Source organism: Homo sapiens, chromosome 4 (assembly GCF_000001405.40).
Source record: "Homo sapiens chromosome 4, GRCh38.p14 Primary Assembly".
Taxonomy (NCBI): Eukaryota; Metazoa; Chordata; class Mammalia; order Primates; family Hominidae; genus Homo; species Homo sapiens.
The window spans coordinates 53,713,123-53,736,033 of record NC_000004.12 but is presented as its reverse complement, the minus strand read 5'-3'; the positions used below and the strand labels follow the sequence as shown (position 1 = coordinate 53,736,033).

At 40.2% G+C, this 22,911-nt stretch overlaps 1 long non-coding RNA gene across 1 annotated transcript in view, besides 1 other annotated feature; it reads right to left on the bottom strand.

The window, feature by feature from the left end:
- Positions 1–1,675: 1,675 nt before the first annotated feature.
- LOC100506444 (uncharacterized) overlaps positions 1,676–22,911 on the bottom strand; it is a 38,458-nt gene continuing 17,222 nt past the window's right edge. The window contains exons 2-3 of the long non-coding RNA NR_125918.1: positions 19,027–19,202; positions 1,676–2,847 (exon numbers count right to left, since the gene is read on the bottom strand). This is a non-coding gene — a long non-coding RNA (uncharacterized LOC100506444). The remainder of the gene's footprint in view (positions 2,848–19,026; positions 19,203–22,911) is intronic.
- Positions 16,704–17,305: an enhancer, noted in NCBI's record as "OCT4-NANOG hESC enhancer chr4:54584896-54585497 (GRCh37/hg19 assembly coordinates)". NCBI's record gives its function as "activates a minimal SCP1, AML or CMV promoter by ChIP-STARR-seq in primed H9 embryonic stem cells {active_cell/tissue: H9 hESC(primed)}" and the evidence as "EXISTENCE:reporter gene assay evidence [ECO:0000049][PMID:30033119]".

The window sequence follows — 22,911 nt, the reverse complement described above, 5'->3', positions numbered from 1 at the left end:
TGAGTTCCCTGGGATAAGGAATTATCCTTAGCCCAATCATTCCACCCTGGCCCTGGAGCTGGGTTCACAGTCCCCTGAAGTACTTAGGTTGCCTGGCAGAGAGATGGAAATCTGAATGAAAATCCAGTTACTATTTGGAAAGGAGAGGAGAGGAAAGAGAAATGTATGCCGCATTAGTCCATTCTCACCCTGCTATGAAGAAATACCCAAGACTGGGTAATTTATAAAGAAAAGAGGTTTAATTAACTCACAGTTCCACATGGCTAGGGAGGCCTCAAGAAACTTACAATCATGGCAGAAGGCACCTCTTCACAGGGCGGCAGGAGAGAGAATGCGTGTCAAGTGAAGGGGGAAGCCCCTGATAAAACCATCAGATATTTTGAGAACTCACTCGCTATCATGAGAACAGCATGGGGGAAATTCTCCCCATGATTCAATTATCTCCACCTGGTACCTCCCTTGACATATGGAGATTTTAAAATTCAAGGTGAGATTTGAGTGGGGACACAGAGTCAAGCCATGTCATATGCTAAAGAGAGATTGAAAGAGAAACAGACATAGACAGGCAAAAATATTTTTACATAAAGATGATCATATTATACACATTCTTCAAAAAACTAATGGATTTAATGTTACTTGAATTGAACATTAGAAAAGTAAAACTAACATAAAACTGAAAATTTGTTGCCCTTTCATTAAATATTCTTTACCACAGGAGATACTATTTGCTCAATATTCCCTCTTGGGGAAATAAGGTTAAGAAAAGATACTATGAAAAATGTTAAAATGTTGGAGTCATTATTTTTTTAGCAACATGTTTCAGTTTTAGACAATATTGAATGACTCACACATCGGAAAGATGAGTAAATCTTTAGACTTGTACTTCCTCCCATCTCCCTACCCCTCACTTCCCAATTTTGGCTCTAATATTATTTTTACAATATCTTTGCTTATAATATTCACATTCTGTTGTGGAAACATTAATCCCGTAATTGTTTAATACCATGAGTTCCATACTCAAATGAATTATGTGTTCCTAAGAAGTCTTTTTTATCCCAGACTCTATATTTCCAAATATTTTATTTCTATTCATCTCTAAATTGACTGTTCATCACTGAATAATTCCTCTCAAGAAGGACTCATGAGTGTGTGTTCCCTGAGTTCTGTCGTGGGTCAGAATATTTATCTGTGACTTTTATACTGAAACTCATTCTGGATGGGTGAAATACTCTTGAGTCACACTTTCCCTTGGAAATCCTAGGTAGTGCTTTATTATAGCTTGGCATGCAAAATTGATTGTTAGTGTCAAAGGCAACCCTAACTGGCTTCCTTTACTTTTTATGTCCTATGCCAAAATACTTTTTAAAAAAGTCCTTGAAGTTTGATAAGTTAATGAGGATATGTCTCAGTGCTGATCATTTAGTATTTGTTTTTCTTGGGTCATGGTGTGCTCTTTCAATCTGCAGATTCGTTTCTGCATTTGTCAGAGCAATTTTTTTTGTTTTATAGCTTTGAATATTTTGTCTGTCCTATTTGCAGATTGTCTACAACCAGGCTTAAGAACTAGGCTGAAATTGCTTTGTGCTTTTCACATGCAATTTCTATCTTTATCTTAAGGATTTTTTTCTGTCTGTAAGCTTATTTTGAGTTGTGCCTATTCAGCTTTTTTTTTTTTGATGATTTTTATCTATTTATCAGTTCTATAATAATGTCGTTTTGAATGAAAACACTTGGACACAGGGCGGGGAACATCACACACCCGGGCCTGTCGTGGGGTTGGGCGACGGGGGAAGGGATAACATTAGGAGAAATACCTAATGTAAATGACGAGTTGATGAGTGCAGCAAACCAACGTGGCACATGTATACCTATGTATCAAACCTGCACATTGTGCACATGTACCCTAGAACTAAAGTATCATTAAAAAAAAATAATATTGTTTTGGTCTTTAATTTGTTTCTATAGGACAGTAGAAAATCACTTTTCCAGATCATTCTCTTGTTTCATCATTTCCTCTTTGGGACCCACTATGTTGAATTCATATTGTTATTAACCTGTTCTATAACCTAAAGCATTCAAGGAAAACAATATGCCCTGCTAATTTGTTTCTTTTCAGATTAATAGCTTTTGATTCAATTTTTCAATATTTTGGTAATCCAAGTCTTCCAAAGTGAGCACAGAGAAACTACTTTTCTAAAATCTCTCCTTCCTTCCTTTGTCCTCCCCTTTTTGAAGTCTATGACGTTAGGTTGCTCCCATTTCTTTGTGTTCTTGCTGTTGCTGTTTTTTTGTGGGTTTTTTTTTTTTTGCTGATTTTTATTATTTTTATTCATATTTTAGATGTTGGAGGAGGAGAGTCTTTATTTTGCCTTTATTCTGCCATCCTTCTTCAGAAGTCTATATTGTTTATATTTATTTTCATTTGTTTAAGCCAAGAAAAAGTGACCTCCATTTTTTAAAAAAGAATCAATGAGATCATGTATGTGAGGTTCATCAAAAACTTAAAAATACTATGCAAACACTATTTTTAAAAGATTAAAATCGTAGAATTTTAAGATTGGACTAAACCTAGCGTCTTGTGTTTTAACCGCATACTCAACTCAGAAATCCACACGCAGCATTCCTGATGATGGCTTCTGCTGCTCTCTGTGATGGGGAACTCGCTCCTTGGCAGAGCATATCATTTAGTAAATGCACAGCTCTTGCAGTTAGTAATTATCTATTATAAGGCCAAATGTGCTTTCTGGAACTTTCTGGAACTTCAGCCATAATTTCTAGTTCTGCCGGACTTAGTAGGTGATACAATGGTCACATTCAAAGTTGTCACGATGTAGAGACACTGGCATCCTGAAGAGAAAAAATGAAAACTAAAAGATTCAGTGTGTTTGTATAGGAACCATACAGATCACAATAATTTGTGTGAACTGTTTTCTATTTGTATCCAAAAACATGCGGCAGAAAAAAAATGTTTTTAACAGTGAAAATGTCTGATTAACTTTGTAGCAAGTTTTTCTCTGAATTTAACTGAGTCCCACAAAATCCTTACTCAACACTCACAGATAGCTGCTCCTAGAAATGTTGTCAACCATTTAAAAAACTAAATGGAGTGTTGCTGATATCTGGCCATTATCACCTTTCTTTGCCACTCAAGCTGCTGAATAAGCACTTGTTGAGGGAGAAACACATTTCCCAGTGTTCAAACCACTTAGGAGGAAGCAGCCCAAGGACCACTTCCTAGTCTGCACACTCTGGCTTGGTGGGGCCACACAATCCATTTAGAAATAGTGTTTGCACAAATAACTGTTCCCGTAGCCAAATGTTTTAAACATACTTTAAACAAATCTTTTCAAGAATTCTAATTCTAACCTGTATCAGAAATGTGTTAAAATTCTGCAGACCTTTTTGCATTTTGTGTCAGCTCAAGTTTCCCTTGAAAATGTTTAGGAACTTCTATTAATCTTTTATTCTCCTTTTGAGAGTGAATTTTCTGGCATCAGAAGTTTCTAAGGCAATTGCATGGCACTTCAATACTGACCACTTAGGAATTAGGTAAGAGGCAGATAATGGAAGCATAAGGGGAGCATGGAGACCCATGTTAAAGGACCCCTGACTCTCTCCTAGTCCCACCTTCACCTCCATTGAAGGCCAATGTGCTTTGCACATTCTTCTCACAGCCTCCACAATAAACAGTGACGTTTCTGTGCTTGTGGAAGCCGGTAATGCCATTCGGTGGGGTTTCATTTTTAGACCAACACACACAAACTTTAAGTCATCCTCATTGAATTCTATAATTCAAAAAGCCTTTCTTTCCTTCCTTCTTTCTGTCCTTCCTTCCTTCCTTCCTTTTTATATTTTATTTTATTTTATTTATTTATTTTTTTGACAGGGCCTGGCCTGTCATCCAGGCTGGAGTGCAGTGTCGCAATCACGGCTCACTGCAGCCTCAGCCCACCAGGCTCAAGTGATTCCCCCACCTCAGCCTCCCGAATAGCTGGGATTACAGACGCACGCAACAATGTCTGGCTCTTTTTTTAATTTTGTAGAGACAGAGTCTCTCTATGTTGCCAGGGCTGGTCTCGAACTCCTGGGCTTAAGCGATCCTCCCTCCTTGGCCTCCCAAAATACTAGGATTACAGGTGTGAGCCATTGTGCCCAGCCCGAAGAACCTTTCTTAGAATCTTAATTTTTGTTTTTCCTCCTGAGGACTGGGTCAGTATTCTCTTCAGTTACCTCAGCCTTTTCCTCATCCTCCTTCCCTTTCTCACTTCTGGAAAGGGGCAGGTTTATCTGGATGGGCTTTTGTGCCCCCACCCCAACCTCGTGCATGGGTCTATTCTCCAGCCCAGGTCCTTTCCCTGAAACAAACGAAGGCTAAGATTTACCAGACCACACCGCAGACTCGGCCCTTTGCAGACATTAACTCATCTACCCTTTTCCGTGACTCCCTGAGATAGGTTCCATCATCACCCCGATTTCACATACTGGGAAAAGAAGAGTTAAGTGGCTAGCCCAAGGATACCCAACTAGGAAGCAGAAGAAACCAAATTTAAATCTAGATAGTCTGATTCTGGAGCACGTACTCTTAAGCCCCATACAATGCTGTTGTCGCAGGAGCCATTACACCATATACATATGATTGTACTGGATACCTTAACATAAAACACATTATCAGCAGGCTTTGCTGTGCTTTCCTGGAAACTCACCCAAATGGTCATCTCCAACACACATCCTGTGAGCACCTCTTAAGGTGCGTGCTACTCTAGGTGATAAAAGTGGTAGAGGAAGCTCTCTATGGGTGGCACATGGTGCTGGCATAGTCTTACATGGAGTCTCACAGGCCTAATGGAATTTCCATTTGGGGCAATGTGGTGGATTGCATTACATGAAACCCTCCTGCTATGAAACACCTGGAAAAGCAGTATAAACTAGAACCAGCTTCTCTTTAAATGTCCCAACTGAGCTCAAAAGAAAGAAAATAAAATCCCAGGGGCCAAAATGAAATGGCAACTAAAACCAGAGAATAACCTGCGAACTGAAGTTGGGGCCATCTGGGGGTATTTGATGATCTCACAAACCAAGGAGTTTGGGATTTGATGGTTAGTCTGGGACAGAAGGAAAAATTGATATCCCACATGAAGTTGCTACCCTTAGTGAAAGGGGAAAAGCAGGGAAAGGCCTCCCTCCCTTAAAAGACCAAAGAAAATGACAGAGAAGCTTGCATTCCTTGGAGTGAGCTCTGAGTGGGGGAAAATTTTTGAAACTCCAGGCCTGCATTCACCAGCTTTGGGGTTCAAAGTTGTACTCTCTCTATGGCACTGGAGACCTCTGTGTGGTAAATTAGTGTAGAAACAGTTTTTAGACATTCCTAAAATTCCTGGCAAAAGTAGCACCAGAGAGATGCCCTCAAACTTGGAGATCCAGGATTCCCACGGTTTAAATGCCATGTTAAGATGAATTCACAATCCAAGAGTTTTTAAAACCCCAAACACATGAGCCAATGCCAGCAGGCCTATCAACAGAAGATATAAACCCTCCCAAAACTCAGCTTTGGCTAGGGACTATAAAATAAGAACGTTTAAAGTGATTAAGGTAGGAAAAAAATAATGAGAGACAAAGAAGCCATAGAAAACACTAAGCGTATTGTACTAAATAGAACTTTGAGAATAAACAATATAGTAATTAAGATTAAAAATTCAAGGGCAGCTGAAGAGAGAATCAGTAAAGCCATTAATCCCGTTCTGTCTGATGCCTGAGACATATAGAAATGAGAAAAATTCCAGAAGGCAGCACAGAGAAGCAATAAGAAGCTCCCAGGAAAGCAATCTTGGGTCTTCTGCCAGAAAAAAAAATGGACAAGAAGAGCTCTTTGTGCACTGGAGCTGCGATGTCAGTAAACATTTTCTAGAAAAGGCCAGATAATAATCATTTTCAGCTTGGTATCCATACATCTCTGTCTCTGTCACATAGTCTTCTTTGCATTTTTTATAACCCTTTAAAAATGTAAATATTTTCCTTAGCTAACAGGCTGTACACAAACAGGCTTTGGTGGGATTTGGCCTGAGTGTTACAGTTTGTGGATCCCTGTGCTAAGCCCTAAGTCTGTAGCTGCTCATGGGCATTTTCTACTGCATGAGGATAATCTACCTGAAAAGGAAACCATTCAAAGGAGGTCCTGCCGGGAGGAGGATGAAGAGAACACAGATTCCCAATGACATGGGTTGAGTGCCTGGACCCACCAAATACAAAAACCTAACCCAGGAATTTTTAGTTATGTGAACCAATAAATGTTCTTTTTTCTTTATTTTATTTTATTTTATTTTATTTTATTTTATTTTATTTTATTTTATTTTATTTTATTATTATTATACTTTAAGTTTTAGGGTACATGTGCACAATGTGCAGGTTAGTTACATATGTATACATGTGCCATGCTGGTGTGCTGCACCAATTAACTTGACATTTAGCATTAGGTTTATCTCCTAATGCTATCCCGCCCCACTCCCCCCACCCCACGACAGTCCCCAGAGTGTGATGATCCCCCTCCTGTGTCCATGTGTTCTCATTGTTCAATTCCTACCTATGAGTGAGAACATGCGGTGTTTGGTTTTTTGTCCTTGCAATAGTTTACTGAGAATGATGATTTCCAGTTTCATCCATGTTCCTACAAAGGACATGAACTCATCATTTTTTTCTGGCTGCATAGTATTCCATGGTATATATGTGCCACATTTTCTTAATCCAGTCTATTGTTGTTGGACATTTGGGTTGGTTCCAAGTCTTTGCTATTGTGAATAGTGCTGCAATAAACATACATGTGCATGTGTCTTTATAGCAGCATGATTTATAGTCCTTTGGGTATATACCCAGTAATGGGATGGCTGGGTCAAATGGTATTTCTAGTCCTAGATCCCTAAGGAATCGCCACACTGACTTCCACAATGGTTGAACTAGTTTACAGTCCCATCAACAGTGTAAAAGTGTTCCTATTTCTCCACATCCTCTCCAGCACCTGTTGTTTCCTGACTTTTTAATGATCACCATTGTAACTGGTGTGAGATGGTATCTCATTGTGGTTTTGATTTGCATTTCTCTGATGGCCAGTGATGATGAGCATTTTTTCATGTGTTTTTTGGCTGCATAAATGTCTTCTTTTGATATCCTTTGTCCACTTTTTGATGGAGTTGTTTGTTTTTTTCTTGTAAATTTGTTGGAGTTCATTGTAGATTCTGGATGTTAGCCCTTTGTCAGATGAGTAGGTTGTGAAAATTTTCTCCCATTTTGTAGGTTGCCTGTTCACTCTGATGGTAGTTTCTTCTGCTGTGCAGAAGCTCTTTAGTTTAATTAGATCCCATTTGTCAATTTTGGCTTTTGTTGCCATTGCTTTTGGTGTTTTAGACATGAAGTCCTTGCCCATGCCTATGTCCTGAATGGTAATGCCTAGGTTTTCTTCCAGGGTTTTTATGGTTTTAGGTCTAACATGTAAGTCTTTAATCCATCTTGAATGAATTTTTGTATAAGGTGTAAGGAAGGGATCCAGTTTCAGCTTTGTACATATGGCTAGCCAGTTTTCCCAGCACCATTTATTAAATAGGGAATCCTTTCCCCATTGCTTGTTTTTCTCAGGTTTGTCAAAGATCAGATTGTTGTAGATATGCGGCATTATTTCTGAGGGCTCTGTTCTGTTCCATTGATCTATATCTCTGTTTTGGTACCAGTACCATGCTGTTTTGGTTACTGTTGCCTTGTAGTATAGTTTGAAGTCAGGTAGCATGATGCCTCCAGCTTTGTTCTTTTGGCTTAGGATTGACTTGGCGATGGGGGCTCTTTTTTGGTTCCATATGAACTTTAAAGTAGTTTTTTCCAATTCTGTGTAGAAAGTCATTGGTAGCTTGATGGGGATGGCATTGAATCTATAAATTACCTTGGGCAGTATGGCCATTTTCATGATATTCATTCTTCCAACCCATGAGCATGGAATGTTCTTCCATTTGTTTGTATCTTCTTTTATTTCATTGAGCAGTGGTTTGTAGTTCTCCTTGAAGAGGTCCTTCACATCCCTTGTAAGATGGATTCCTAGGTATTTTATTCTCTTTGAAGCAATTGTGAATGGGAGTTCACTCATGATTTGGCTATTTGTCTGTTATTGGTTTATAGGAATGCTTATGATTTTTGCACATTGATTTTGTATCCTGAGACTTTGCTGAAGTCGCTTATCAGCTTAAGGAGATTTTGGGCTGAGACGATGGGGTTTTCTAGATATACAATCATGTCATCTGCAAACAGGGACAATTTGACTTCCTCTTTTCCTAATTGAATACCCTTTATTTCCTTCTCCTGCCTAATTGCCCTGGCCAGAACTTCCAACACTATGTTGAATAGGAGTGGTGAGAGAGCGCATCCCTGTCTTGTGCCAGTTTTCAAAGGGAATGCTTCCAGTTTTTGCCCATTCAGTATGATATTGGCTGTGGGTTTGTCATAGATAGCTCTTATTATTTTGAGATACGTCCCATCAATACCTAATTTATTGAGAGTTTTTAGCATGAAGGTTGTTGAATTTTGTCAAAGGCATTTTCTGCATCTATTGAGATAATCATGTGGTTTTTGTCTTTGGTTCTGTTTACATGCTGGATTACATTTATTGATTTGCGTATGTTGAACCAGCCTTTCATCCCAGGGATGAAGCCCACTTCATCATGGTGGATAAGCTTTTGGATGTGCTGCTGGATTCGGTTTGCCAGTATTTTATTGAGGATTTTTGCATCAATGTTCATCAAGGATATTGGTCTAAAATTCTGTTTTTTGGTTGTGTCTCTGCCAGGCTTTGGTATCAGGATGCTGCTGGCCTCATAAAATGAGTTAGGGAGGATTCCCTCTTTTTCTATTGATTGGAATAGTTTCAGAAGGAATGGTACCAGTTCCTCCTTGTACCTCTGGTAGAATTCGGCTGTGAATCCAGCCGGTCCTGGACTCTTTTTGGTTGGTAAGCTATTGATTATTGCCACAATTTCAGAGCCTGTTATTGGTCTATTCAGAGATTCAACTTCTTCCTGGTTTAGTCTTGGGAAGGTGTATGTGTCGAGGAATTTATCCATTTCTTCTAGATTTTCTAGTTTATTTGCATAGTGGTGTTTGGAGTATTCTCTGATGGTAGTTTGTATTTCTGTGGGATCGGTGGTGATATCCCCTTTATCATTTTTTATTGCGTCTATTTGATTCTTCTCTCTTTTCTTCTTTATTAGTCTTGCTAGCGGTCTATCAATTTTGTTGATCCTTTCAAAAAACCAGCTCCTGAATTCATTAATTTTTTGAAGGGTTTTTTGTGTCTCTATTTCCTTCAGTTCTGCTCTGATTTTAGTAATTTCTTGTCTTCTGCTAGCTTTTGAATGCGTTTGCTCTTGCTTTTCTAGTTCTTTTAATTGTGATGTTAGGGTGTCAATTTTGGATCTTTCCTGCTTTCTGTTGTGGGCATTTAGTGCTATAAATTTCCCTCTACACACTGCTTTGAATGTGTCCCATAGATTCTGGTATGTTGTGTTTTTGTTCTCATTGGTTTCAAAGAACATCTTTATTTCTGCCTTCATTTCGTTATGTACCCAGTAGTCATTCAGGAGCAGGTTGTTCAGTTTCCATGTAGTTGAGCGGTTTTGAGTGAGTTTCTTAATCCTGAGTTCTAGTTTGATTGCACCGTGGTCTGAGAGACAGTTTGTTATAATGTCTGATCTTTTACATTTGCCGAGGAGAGCTTTACTTCCAACTATGTGGTCAATTTTGGGACAGGTGTGGTGTGGTGCTGAGAAAAATGTATATTCTGTTGATTTGGGGTGGAGAGTTCTGTAGATGTCTATTAGATCTGCTTGGTGCAGAGCTGAGCTCAATTCCTGGGTATCCTTGTTAACTTTCTGTGTTGTTGATCTGTCTAATGTTGACAGTGGGGTGTTAAAGTCTCCCATTATTATTGTGTGGGAGTCTAAGTCTCTTTGTAGGTCACTCAGGACTTGCTTTATGAATCTGGGTGCTCCCGTATTGGGTGCATATATATTTAGGATAGTTAGCTCTTCTTGTTGAATTGATCCCTTTACCATTATGTAATGGCCTTCTTTGTCTCTTTTGATCTTTGTTGGTTTAAAGTCTGTTTTATCTGAGACTAGGATTGCAACCCCTGCCTTTTTTTGTTTTCCATTTGCTTGGTAGATCTTCCTCCATCCCTTTATTTTGAGCCTAAGTGTGTCTCTGCACGTGAGATGGGTTTCCTGAATACAGCACACTGATGGGTCTTGACTCTGTATCCAATTTGCCAATGTGTGTCTTTTAATTGGAGCATTTAGCCCATTTATATTTAAGGTTAATATTGTTATGTGTGAATTTGATCCTGTCATTATGATGTTAGCTGGTTATTTTGCTCGTTAGTTGATGCAGTTTCTTCCTAGCCTTGATGGTCTTTACAATTTGGCATGTTTTGGCAGTGGCTGGTACTGGTTGTTCCTTTCCGTGTTTAGTGCTTCCTTCAGGAGCTCTTTTAGGGCAGGCCTGGTGGTGACAATATCTCTCGGCATTTGCTTGTCTGTAAAGTATTTTATTTCTCCTTCACTTATGAAGCTTAGTTTGGCTGGATATGAAATTGTGGGTTGAAAATTCTTTTCTTTAAGAATGTTGAATATTGGCCCCCAATCTCTTCTGGCTTGTAGAGTTTCTGCCGAGAGATCCACTGTTAGTCTGATGGGCTTCCCTTTGAGGGTAACCCAACCTTTCTCTCTGGCTGTCCTTAACTAAATGTTCTTTTTTCAAAAGTCAGTGTGCCCTGATTTTATGTTACTTATAAAGAAAAGAACAACTGGCAAATTTAGCAATGTGCTTGAATCTCTAAATCCTTTATGTGTGATAGTCTGCCTGCTTTAATATCATCTAAATTGCAATTGCTATTGTTCAGGAATTACTAAAACAGTTAAACCCAGATTAATGCAATATTTTTTACAATATGTTGCTCTGTGAAGTGGAAAAAAAGAAGAAAGAAAAACAGTATTTTTGTGTGTGTCAGGCATTGCACTGACTGTCTTAGATGTTGTCCCACTGAACAGACACAACTCCTTTGTGAAATATGCATTAACTCCATTTTATAGGTAAGAAAGGTTGATTGTGAGAAGTAAAGTAACTAGTCTAAGGCCACACTTAGAGTTGAGTCATTGTGGCAGAGATCTTATGGCTTAGAAAGCCAAAATTATCTGCTATCTCCCCCTTTACAGAAAAAGTTTGCTGACTCTGGTCTGAATAGAAGGAGATATTATTATTATCTTAACTGCTGGCTGAGATTTTTCTCAAGAGGGAAACTGCCTGGGAAAATACTTTGCTAAGTGTTTGGGCTGGAGATCCATGATGCCAGTATCTGAAGGAGCCCTAGCAGGAAGGAAAAGATGTACCATTTTACATGTGAAAATAAGAGGAATATTGGGTATCGGCTCCTGAAAAAAAAAGAAAAAAAGAAGTGGGGAGGAGGAAGGAGGGAGGGGGCAAGCAAAGAGGCTGGCAGAAAAAGAATTTGAGAGAAAGAGGCTGGAAACTTTTCAAGAAGTAGGAATGTAATATTAGGGCAACAGGGTTTCAGAAAAATCTAGTACCAGATTTTAAGCTATTTGCTTTGTGGTGTATCACCCTTCCTGGGATCCCCTGGTCTTTGGTAAAATGGCTTTTTTGTATGGTTGCTTTTGGGATGAAGGGAGAGTCAAAGAGAAGTTACTTGGGGGCCCAACATCAGAGCTGAGTGGAAAGAAGTAGCTCTAAGACACAGAGAACAAATTTTGACAAAGTTAGGACATGAGAATAGAATTAACCTTAAGACCATAAACCATAAGAACTTCCCCCAGAATTTGGAGACCCCTTGCGAAGTGCTTTAGGTTTCCCTAATCAATGTAATTAGGATCTGATCCAATCTTCTGTAGGGCTTAAGGGCCAGGAGACCTTAGCTAATAGCAGAGTCAGACACTTACTCCACAGGGATTGAATAAGGCATTCTCCCTGCCTCTGGGAGCTCACACCCTGTGGGAAAACAGACCTCAGAACAAATGTGTAATAATTGCTCTGATAGAAAGATGAACAATTAAAGCACAAAGGAAAAAATGGTCAACTCTGCCTAGGGTGTCAGGGAGGACTTCTAGCAGGAAGCGATGTTTGAGCCAGCCTTTGAAGGATGAGAAGGAGGTAATCACTCAGACAGGAGAAGGGAGAATCTTCCCGCCAGAGAGAAGAAGAGGTGCACAAATGTGAAGCCAGAAAGAAGGTGTCAGGAAACAGAAGGCTCCCTGCAAGATGAGAATGAGAAGGGCAGAGGAGGGAGTGCAGAGAAGTCGGTCAGACCCCTAAGGTTGCATACTTTCTTTTTTCCTCCATAAAGCGCATTTACACAAGGAAGGCAATCAATGAAATTTACTTTCAGATTGGTTATCACATCTATTATTTAATAAGAATTGGGGTTTGATGGGGTGGCCCTTTTTCTTTCTTGTTGCTCTTTGAAGCTTTTACTATTTTGTGGTCTTACAGCTGCTCTTCTTACCGTGAGCACGTCTTGACTGAACATCATGATATGCATTAAGGACTCAGGGAGGTTTAACTGATTGTACTGCCAAGGGAAGCAAAAGCATGTGTTAAGAAAAGCACGGCCTTGAGTTTAAATGCTGTTTCTGCCACTTCTTAGTGAAACACAATTTATTTAAACATTCCGAGCCTCAGTTTCTCTCTCAAAAAGAAAGATAGAGACCAGGTGCAGTGGCTCACATGTGTAATCCCAGCACTTTGGGAGGCTGAGATAGAAGGATCACTTCAGTCCAGCAGTTCAAGACCAGCCTGAGCAACATAAGAAAGCCCCAGCTCTATAAAAAATTTAAAAATTAGCCAGGAGTGGTTGTGCATGCCTGTGGTCCCAGCTACTTGGGAGGCTGAGGTGGGAGGATCACTTAAGCCTGGGAGGTTGAGGCTGCTGTGAGCTGTGATCATGCCACTGCACCCCATCCTGGACAACAGAGTGAGACCCTGTCTCAAAAAGAAAAAAGAAAAAAAAAGTAGATAATAGTATCTATGTGGCAGAATTGCGGTGAGGAGTAAATGACATGAGAGCTCAGTGGCTGTCACCTAATAGATGTTCAGTAAATATGAGTTCCCTATTTTCCAGTTAGATGAGATTCTTTTTGTACCTGATTTTTTTATGATTGTTTCGAGTTGTGATGTTCAGTATGATTGATAGCCACTAGCAACGTGCTGCTATTGAGCACTTGAAATGTGCCTAATCTGAATTAGGATGTGCCGTATGTGTAAAATATATACCAGGTTTCAAAGACATAGGATGAACTGAAGAATGTAAAATAGCCCATTAATAAACTTTTATATTAATTCCCTATTGACGTGGTACCATTTTGGATATATTGGGTTAAATAAAATATGTTCTTAAAGTAATCTTACTTGTTTCTTTTTCATTTTTTAACATGGCTACTAGAAAATTTAAAATTAATTTGTGGATTGCATTATATTGCTATTGGACAATTGCTGGTTATAGAGGAAAGACAGAATGAAATTTCAAGGCCTGTCTGAAGCCCAGGTGACAAAAAAAATTTCTATTTTTTCAACTTTTGCTATAAAGATCTAGTTGCCTAAAATTCAGTGGAATTTTGAAAGTAGGATGAGGCACTTAGTCAGTGGAAATTAGGTTAAACTGACTTTGATGGGAAAAAAATGCAGTTGTCAGCATTTACTTTCGTTGCATTTTCACCACTAACTGAATACCTTGTCCTCTAATGTTACACATAAATGTGAAGGTTAAGAGCTGTCTCTCTAACTCACCTCTGCTGGCCAGAATCCTGAAGCCACATGCTACACTGCTTTGTCTCTCCTGGATTGCACAGTGAAATTGTTTTCTCTTTATGTATGACAGAGCCTTCACTTCTTGAACTCCTCATCCTTCTCAGAAACCACACAGGGATGTCCCTGGACTGCAGAGGAGGAGTTTCTTTCAAATACTTTAAACCAGCAGGAGACCTCAGTTTTGACATTAAAACCATTTAAATACACATATGCACATGTGTGCATGCACACACACACACACACATGCACACATGCAGAAACCCAGCACAGAGTGAGGTGGTGCAGGGAGCAGTGGCGGGGTGGTCTCTCTTAAAAAATTCCAAGGCACTCACTAGCTTTGAGATACACAAAAAAGCTGAAGCATTTCTTCACACACCATAGTTTCTTTTCTTTGACATCGTATGTGAGCCCGTTTGCTGAGGAAGGAGGGGGTAGTGACTGGGGCTCCCACTAAGCACTTGTGCAGATGGAGGCAGAGAGGCAAAAGATAGTGTAGCCAGTGTTCATTACAGCACCATATCATTGGCACAGTTTCTACTTCCTTCTCTTCCAATCCCCAACTCTCTCACCTGGGTTCTAACCCTAGCTGTCCTCGCAAATGGGTGCCTCTCCCTAAGTACATCATGACCTCCAGGCTGCTAAATCCAATAAATATTTTTTAGCCACATCACAGGAATGACATTAACATCTGCCTCCCTTAATCCAGCATTGACCACAGCTATGGTGTACTATAGCCATGGGCACTGCCCCTTTCCTCTCCTCCTTATGCACAGCAGGCTTCCTCCTGCCTGGCCTAGCAGCCTTCAGAAATGGCTCATTCAGAGGCTTTCAAGGCATGCATAATGCCACATCTCAGATATTGCTCAGTTCTCATCTTTACTAACCTGTCAGCAATACACCACTCCTCCCATCTTGAAATACTCTCTTCTTTGGCTGTCCAATGCCATCTGATATAGTTTGGCTGTGTCCCCACCCAAATCTCATCTTGAATTACAACTCCCACAATTCCAACATGTCATGGGAGGAACTTGGTGGGAGGTGATTGAATCATGGGGGTGGGTCTTTCCTGGGTTGTTCTCATGATGGTGAATGAGACTCACGAGAAAAATGGGAGTTTTTCTGCATAAACTCTCTTCTCTTGTCTGCTGCCATGTGAGACACCTTCTGCCGTGATAGTGAGGTCTCCCCAACCACGTGGAACTGTAAGTCCAATAAACCTTTCTTTTGTAAATTGCCCAGTCTCGGGGAATGCCTTTATCAGCAGTGTGAGAACGGGCTAATACACCATCCTTATCTGGTTTCTCCTAGGGCTTTGCACCTTCCCTTTCTATCTCCTTTGCAGGCTCAATTTCAACCTCCTGACTATGAAATGTTAGATTCCCAAGACTTGGTCATAAGCCCCTTCTCTTCATCTATTCTAATACTTTCTCCCTTGACATTCAGGAATTATTATTACCAGGGTTATCAATATCCAGGGCTTTGACATCTGATAATTCTGGTAGCTTTCAGATTTATGTCCTCAGCGCAGAATGTTATTCTGAGTTCTAAACCTATAAATCTAATCTTTTACTTGACATCTCAACTTGCATTTCTCAAAGACCTTCAAAGTAAACCCGAACAAACCTTAACTTTGAAGCCTGGTTCTCCTTAAGTGTTTTGTCATTCAGGGGATGATAGTTCATCTCTAGCATAAACCAGCAATCAAAGAGTTCCTTTGAAATCTCCCTTTCCTTCACCTTTACCACCTCATCCATTATATCATCAAGTCCCAATGACTTCATATGCCAATAATCTCTCAGATCCAGGGAGTTCTTTTCATCCTCCCTGCCAACCCCCCAGGCCAAAAGTACCATCATTTCTTGCTTGGACTGCCTCAGTAGCCCCCTGTCTTCTTTTTCTCTCACTTCCCTCCAAACATAGCCACCAGAGTAAGGTGGGATTTTACTTCCCAGACCTGTTGAATCTTCCCTAACCTAGTTCTCTTCTAAAGTGTGAAAGACGTAGGCCATCAGGGATGTGGCTTGGAACGTCCATGATTGCTAAAAGCACTAAGATTTTGTAAGAGTTCACAGAAGGAGAAAGTTACTTCTAGCAAGTGGGTCAGGGCAGGTTTGACTGAGGAGGGTTGTTTGACTCTGGGTGGTTTGTACCTGCCATGTGAATGTTAAGAGGGTCATTTCAGGCCAGGTGCGGTCCTCATGCCTATAATTCCAGTGCTGTGGGAAGACAAGATGGGAGGATTGCTTGAGGCCAGGAGCTTAACACAAGACTGGGCAACAAAGCAAGACCCCTGTCCCTACGAAAAAAAATTTAAAAATAGCAGGCATGGTGGCACATGCCTATAGTCCCAGCAACTTGGGAGGGTTAGTATGGAGGGCCACTGCACTCCAGCCTGGGGTGATAGAGCAAAACCCTGTATCTTAAAAACAAAACAAAACAAAACACCCCATCATTTTAGGGACTGAGAACAACATGAACAAAGGCAGGGAGGTAATAGAAGAAAGGTATTGGTTCACGGATTCATTTAAAAATTAATTATTGAGCATTTGTTATGAATGAGACATCATTACAGGTGCTGGGAATATATTGATGAAAAACACAGACATGGGCCTCATAGAACTTACAGTTGAGAGGTGCTGTGTGGGGAGTTTGTTGGATCCCAGAGAACATGAAGGGAATCGTGGGGCATTTTGCTAGAGAAGTAAGTGAAGACCAGATCAAGGAAGGGACTTAAACAGATAATAGGAGTTTTCGATTTTATAAAGTCAAGACTTATAAAGTCAATGCCTTGAGGGGACAGGTGGCAAATGTAAATTAGGGGAGTGGGCTTGGTGTGAGGTAAGAGGAAGAGTGGGGATTTGGGCAAACTAGAAATCTCAAGCCCTATCCAAGGAGTGACTGATTATTCAGCCGCAGCTAATTATTGCCATTCAGAAATGTGGATCCAGAACCTCTGCTATTGAAAGAAAGAAATGCAAGCATGCAAGCTTTTAGAGCAACTTTTGGTTTGTTAAATTTCGATAAGTAATTTGATTCTATTTTTTTTTTCAAAATGCCATGAAAGTATCAAACTATGACTTTGGGTTGCTTCAGCTTGCAGGACAGCAGTTTATGCGCTCTGCTTGATACAAATGGGAGCAATTGAAGGCTCTTTGTCTTAGTCCATTTGGCTGCTATAACAAAATACCTTATACTGAGTGGCTTATAAATAACATAAACTTATTGCCCCAAGTTCTGGAGGCTAAGTCCAAGATCAAGATGCTAGCAGATTTAGTGTCTGGTCAGGGCCTATTCCTTATAGATAACGCCTTCTATGTGTCCTCACGTAGCAGAAGGGGCAAATAAGCTCCCTCAGTTTTCTTTTTATAAGGCAATAATCCCATTCATGAGGGCTCTAACCTCATGACTTAATCATTTCCCCAAAAGCCCCACTTCATAACAGTATCTCATTGGAGATTAGGTTTAAATGTATAAATTTTTCAGGGGCACACATATTCAAACCACAGCACATTATGTGTAAAATGTGTTGAAGATGAAAATTCTTTAGGCAGAAAGCTCATTGGAAGTGGCTGAGGAGACAAAGAATGAGAGTCTGGTTTAGAATTTAGGCAACAAGAAAGGAGATGGGCCTCTTCCAACAAACATTTTCCTCTTCTTTCTTTCTTTCTTTCTTTCTTTTTTTTTTTTTTTTTTTTTTGAGACGGTATCTCGCTCTGTCATCCAGGCTGGAGTGCAGTGGCAGGATCTCAGCTCACTGCAACCTCTGCCTTCTAGGTTCAAGCCATTCTCCTGCCTGCCTCAGCCTCCCAAGTAGCTGAGATTACAGGTGCTCGCCACCATGCCTGGCTAATTTTTGTATTTTTAGTAGAGGCAGGGTTTCACCATGTTGGCCAGCCTGGTCCTGAACTCCTGACCTCAGGTAATCCACAGTGGCCTCTCACAGTGCTGGGATTACAGGTGTGAGCCATTGCACCCAGCCTCCTCTTTTTTCTTAGTAACTGAACTGCAATGTGTTAGGCTGGAAAAGAAAACTACATTTGCCAGCCTTTCTTATAGCTAAGTTTGGTCATGTAAATAAATAATTCTGTCCAATGTGATGGCGAAAGATTGTAGGATGGGGCTTCAGGAAAAGTTTTTAAAACAGATATGCCTTTTTGTTCTTCCATCCTTCTGTTTTTATCATTCTGAGATGTGGACAAAATGGCTGAAACTTCAGCAATTATCTTAAGCCAAAAGTTGAAGATGATTTTTTAAAAAGTAAGATGGAGGGACTAGGGGTCTCTAAGGTGCACAGGGCACCATTTCAGCCCTGAGTGGCCTGCTTGCCTCAGGATTTCTACTTGAAAGAAAAAATTGGTTTTATGTGTTTACACATAAAACCTGATACATTCTGACTTTTCTGTTACATGCAGTCAAACCCAACCCTCACTGAGAAAGCAACTAATTAAATGCAGAGAGCAGGAAGATAATAGGAGCCCAGGTTTGGGTGTACAATATTGGAAAGACAGGCATAGCAAGAATCTAGACGCACATCAGCAGGGTCAAGAATGTAGGTGCCAAGGATCTATTGAGTGTTCACCACATCCCAGGTGCTGTTCTAAGGGCTTTGTATGTGTTAACTCATTGAAATCTAACAACCAGTCTATGATCTTCATACTAGTCTATAACCATTTTACAGATGGGAAAACTAAGGCACAGGGAGACTAAGTGCCTTACTCAGATCTCCAGCTAGCAAGTGGTAGAACCATGAGTCATCCAACTGCTCTGTCCCAGAGCTGGTACTTGTAACTTCCACCCTGTGCTGCCTTTATGCGCTGTCTGTCCCCACCATCTCTACCACACTTCCACTCTCTCTCTCACTTGCAGCCTCTAGCCACAGTGCTTCCTTCTGCCCTGAAAATGCAAAGGCTTTTCCTGCCTCAAGGCCTTTGTCCTAATGAATTCTCTATCAAGAAGGCTCTTCCTCCAGATTGTTATGTGGCTTGCTCCTTTTCCTAATGCTGACCTTAACTCAACTATCGCCTCCTCAAACAGACCTCTGACTCAGCAGTTGGGGGACTCTTGCAATGCATGTTTCTTGCGCAGAATTATAACCTGTGTTCACATTCTCAGACGTCTATGGTTATGTTTCCACATTTAAGCTAAACAGAAGGCTCTATTTAAAGAAACAAAAATAAAAACCTGGAACTGTCGCTGCCAGACAGTCATCCATGTCCTCAAGAAATTCTCTGACAAGTCGGGAGGCATAGGAGAAGAACCACATGTATAGTGCAGGATCAGCGCTCTTCAGGAGGTCCTGGAGTGAGACGCACAGCAAGGGCAGAAAGAGCCACTTCACTACAGGCCACTGCAAACAGCTGAGAGTGGAAGTATCAGAGACTGTTAGTTGTCCTCAGTTTATTTTATCCACTGTTTCCTTGAGAATAGGATCCCCAATTTGTTTTTGGACAAATGGTTGACAAAAACAATAACTACATTTCCCAATCTCTTTTGCAACAGATGTGTCCATGTGACCAAGTTACATGGAAACGAAATGGGAGTTCCTAAGTGGAACTTCTTGGACACCATCAAAAAGGGAAGGGCATGACTTTCTTTGGTCCTCCCTTTGTTCCACGGGTTAACATGGGGATCTGAGAGCTCAATTTCCAGCAGCCACCCCAGCCAATGACACAGAAGCTACATGGCTAAGGAAGTGGAAAAATAATCTAGAAAGAACTTGGATTCTGGATGACTGAATGATACCACCCATATGTAAAGGAAAAGAATCAGCTTTCTAGTAGTTTATGCCACTGTTATTTTCATTTTTCTGTCACTTGTAACCAAGTCTACTCCTGATCCAGAGAGTGTTATATAATAAATGAGGCTGGAAGGATAAAACCAAATCAGTGAAGTCATTATAAGGAATCTTAGGAAACTTGAACTTCATCCTGAAGTAATGAAAAGAGAGTGAACATTTTTTAGTAGTGAATGAACAGGATTGCTTACACTTTTTTTTTTTTTTTTTGAAAAATCACTGTTGGGAATGAAAGCATTCTTGGGAAGTGAACTGGAGGGGGCAAGACTGGAGGCAGAGATGCCAATTAAGAGGCTGCTATAAGTAGCACTGCAAAATGGCACACTCTGAACTGCAATCATGGATGCAGAGCTAGAGAAGGTGGATTGCAGGGAAATAGAAGGAGTGGAATCTCTAGAACTTGATTTATCCATGTGCTGGCTGAGAAAACGGGAGCATTGGAATAACTTTCAAGTTTCTGATTTGGGCAGCTGCATCACTCATGAGTGAAAGGCATTAGGAGGAGCAGTTTACTAGGCTTCCAAAAAAAGACCTCCTCTAAGAATAGGGAAACTAAGCAGTAGAAGATTTTAGAAGTAGGATATTAACCCAGTTTCCAATTGCAAGACCATCTGTCAGGTTTTTGATGTAGTCAAAAGCAAGAACCAAACAGATCTGATTCAAAGTTTAGATAAACCATGCCCTTACTTGACCTTGGGCCCAGTTATTTAACCTTCTAGACCATCAGTTTCTTCATCTCTAAAATGGATACAATCACACTAATATCATTGGGCTTTATGGAAAATAATGAAATTCCCAGCTGAGTGCAAGAACATAGTAAATGGACAATACGTGTAGCTGTTGTTATTTACTGCTTGTTAAGTGTTCAGGTCATCTATATGGGAGCATTTTCTCTTCTCCTGCTTAGTCTCTCAAAGATTCTTAGTACAGAGCACAACATGTACTACCTTCACTCTCAACTAAGTCCCATTGGAGAGTACATTCTCCATAAAAACAAAGGTAATTAAAGAGTCCAGTGTGTGCACGCTAGCCCAAGGAAAACTTACTCAAATTGACTTTCACTTTGATTCTCTGCCTGCCCTGAGATCTCCCTCAGCTTCTCCTTCTGGGTATCTACTCCGCCTAGCAGCTCCAGCAAAGAATTTTAAAAATAAAATGTTCTTGATCAATATCTTGATAAATTTCTTAAAGTCTTAATGTGGTGGACAAACAATTCCTTTTTTAATAAGCCTTTTTTTCTTTGAAAGAATCTCAATTGACATGATTGAACCAAAAGAAAATCGGCATGACATATATAATATTAAGCAGCTATAAATCTGGAAGAGATTCAAAACCCAGACAGAAGGCTTTGATTTTTTTAAAGCACATTTAATCATGTTTTAAAGCAAAATGAAAAACCACAAATCTGTTTAGACATTCCAAACATGAAGAAATAATATTTTTATCAAAATCTTGTAACCTTACTCACACCAAAAGAAATTGTTCCTAAGCAGCGCTGACAACTCTGTCTGAGATGTGAATCTGAAAACACGTTTTTAAAATTATACTTTGGAAGCTTTGAATATGCTCAATGAAATTCCAGAATTAATCCACTCCAGTTTTGCAGTAGGCACTGACTCATCTACATCTCCTTCCCTCTTCCCTTTTAGCAAAGCTACCCTACTCATTCCCCCAACACATACACACACACACACGTGCACACACACACACACACACCTTCAGTTAGAACCAATGGCTATGATACATCAAAAGAGTCACAGTTAATCCAATAGACTCTTTTTTTCTGTTCCTTGCCTCGGTTTTTTCACTTTAAATGGAGGAAAACATCTCACTTATCACCTGGAACATCTGCCAAATGAACCAAGATGCAGAGAAGCTCTGATTTAGGCATGGTAGGCTGGCTCTTCATGCTCATAAATCCAGGCTGTTTAGCAGTCCCTCGTAGAATGCCAAGAGAACTGCATGTTACTGATCCCCACAAATGCCAAAATTGCAATGGGTTGACATTTACTGTGCAGTCATCATATAACAAATGATTTACCTAGAAAGAGACACAGTCTTCCAGTGAGATGACAGTTAATCCTTCTTCCAGGCTTGGAGAGGTAGAGAGATTCCAGGAAACAAATTAGCTTTAAAAAGTCTCTGGTTTTAGCTGCATCGTACATAGTTCTTTTTTAAATATAACTTTTTAAAAGATATAATTCACATATATAAAACACATTCTTTAAAAGTGTACAATTCAGTGGTTTTTAGTGTATTCACAAATTTGTACAACCATCACTGTTATCTATTTCCAGAACATTGCAATCACTCCTAAAAGAAACACCATAACCACTAGCAGTCACTCCCCATTCCCCTCCAACTCTCCAGCCTTAGGCAATTGCTAATCTATTTTCTGTCCCTAGAGATTTGCCTACTCTTGACATTCATATATAAGGGATTATACAACATGTGGCCTTTTGTGTCTGGCTTCTTTCACTTAACAATGTTTTTAAGATTGTAGATGGGAGTTTTTGCTGATATGTTGAATTTCTCTTCTGATAACACTAACAGTTATCATATTTGGAGTGCTTCTCAATGCTGAAGTGCTTTCCATGCATAATCTCACTCCATCCTCACAACAGTAGAACGAGACATATACAATTATATCCATTTTACAGACGGGGAATTGACGTTTATAGAGAAGTCAAGTAACTCATCCAAGGCCAAACAGCTAGTAAGTGATTGAGGAAGGATTTCAATCCAGGCCTGCTTGACTCCAAAGCTTGTGATGTTAACCTCCAGGATCCACTGCCAGCATTCTTAGAGATGAGTTCTGTTTTTGTTGCCCTTTCCAGGGTCTTCTTTAAAACAGGAAAAAGTGTATTCCTAAGATGCTTGAGAGTTAAGGCAATTCCCCAGGGGCTGGACTCGTATGCAATGGGTCAGTGAAATGCAGCATGGCCATGTCTGCAAGCTGAGGAGAAGTGAGTGGCAGCTAGAAATGTAAGGCCTCAAGAATTCCAAGATCTCTAAGGAGAATGACCCCAGAGCTGTAGCACCCAGCATACCGGATGGGCAAATAGAAAGCGTGGGGTGTCTGGCTGACACTTGGAATGCCACCGACATCCCTGTCTAGGTCACTCATTGATGGGCTAATACATCAGATTATTAATATAATAATTAATAAATCATTTTTTCACAAAAACTGGTCTTGACAAACATTGGAGAAATATAAGAGCCATGTTGCTCATCACTATACCCTCACAGCAAGGTTCAATCCTAATAATCTG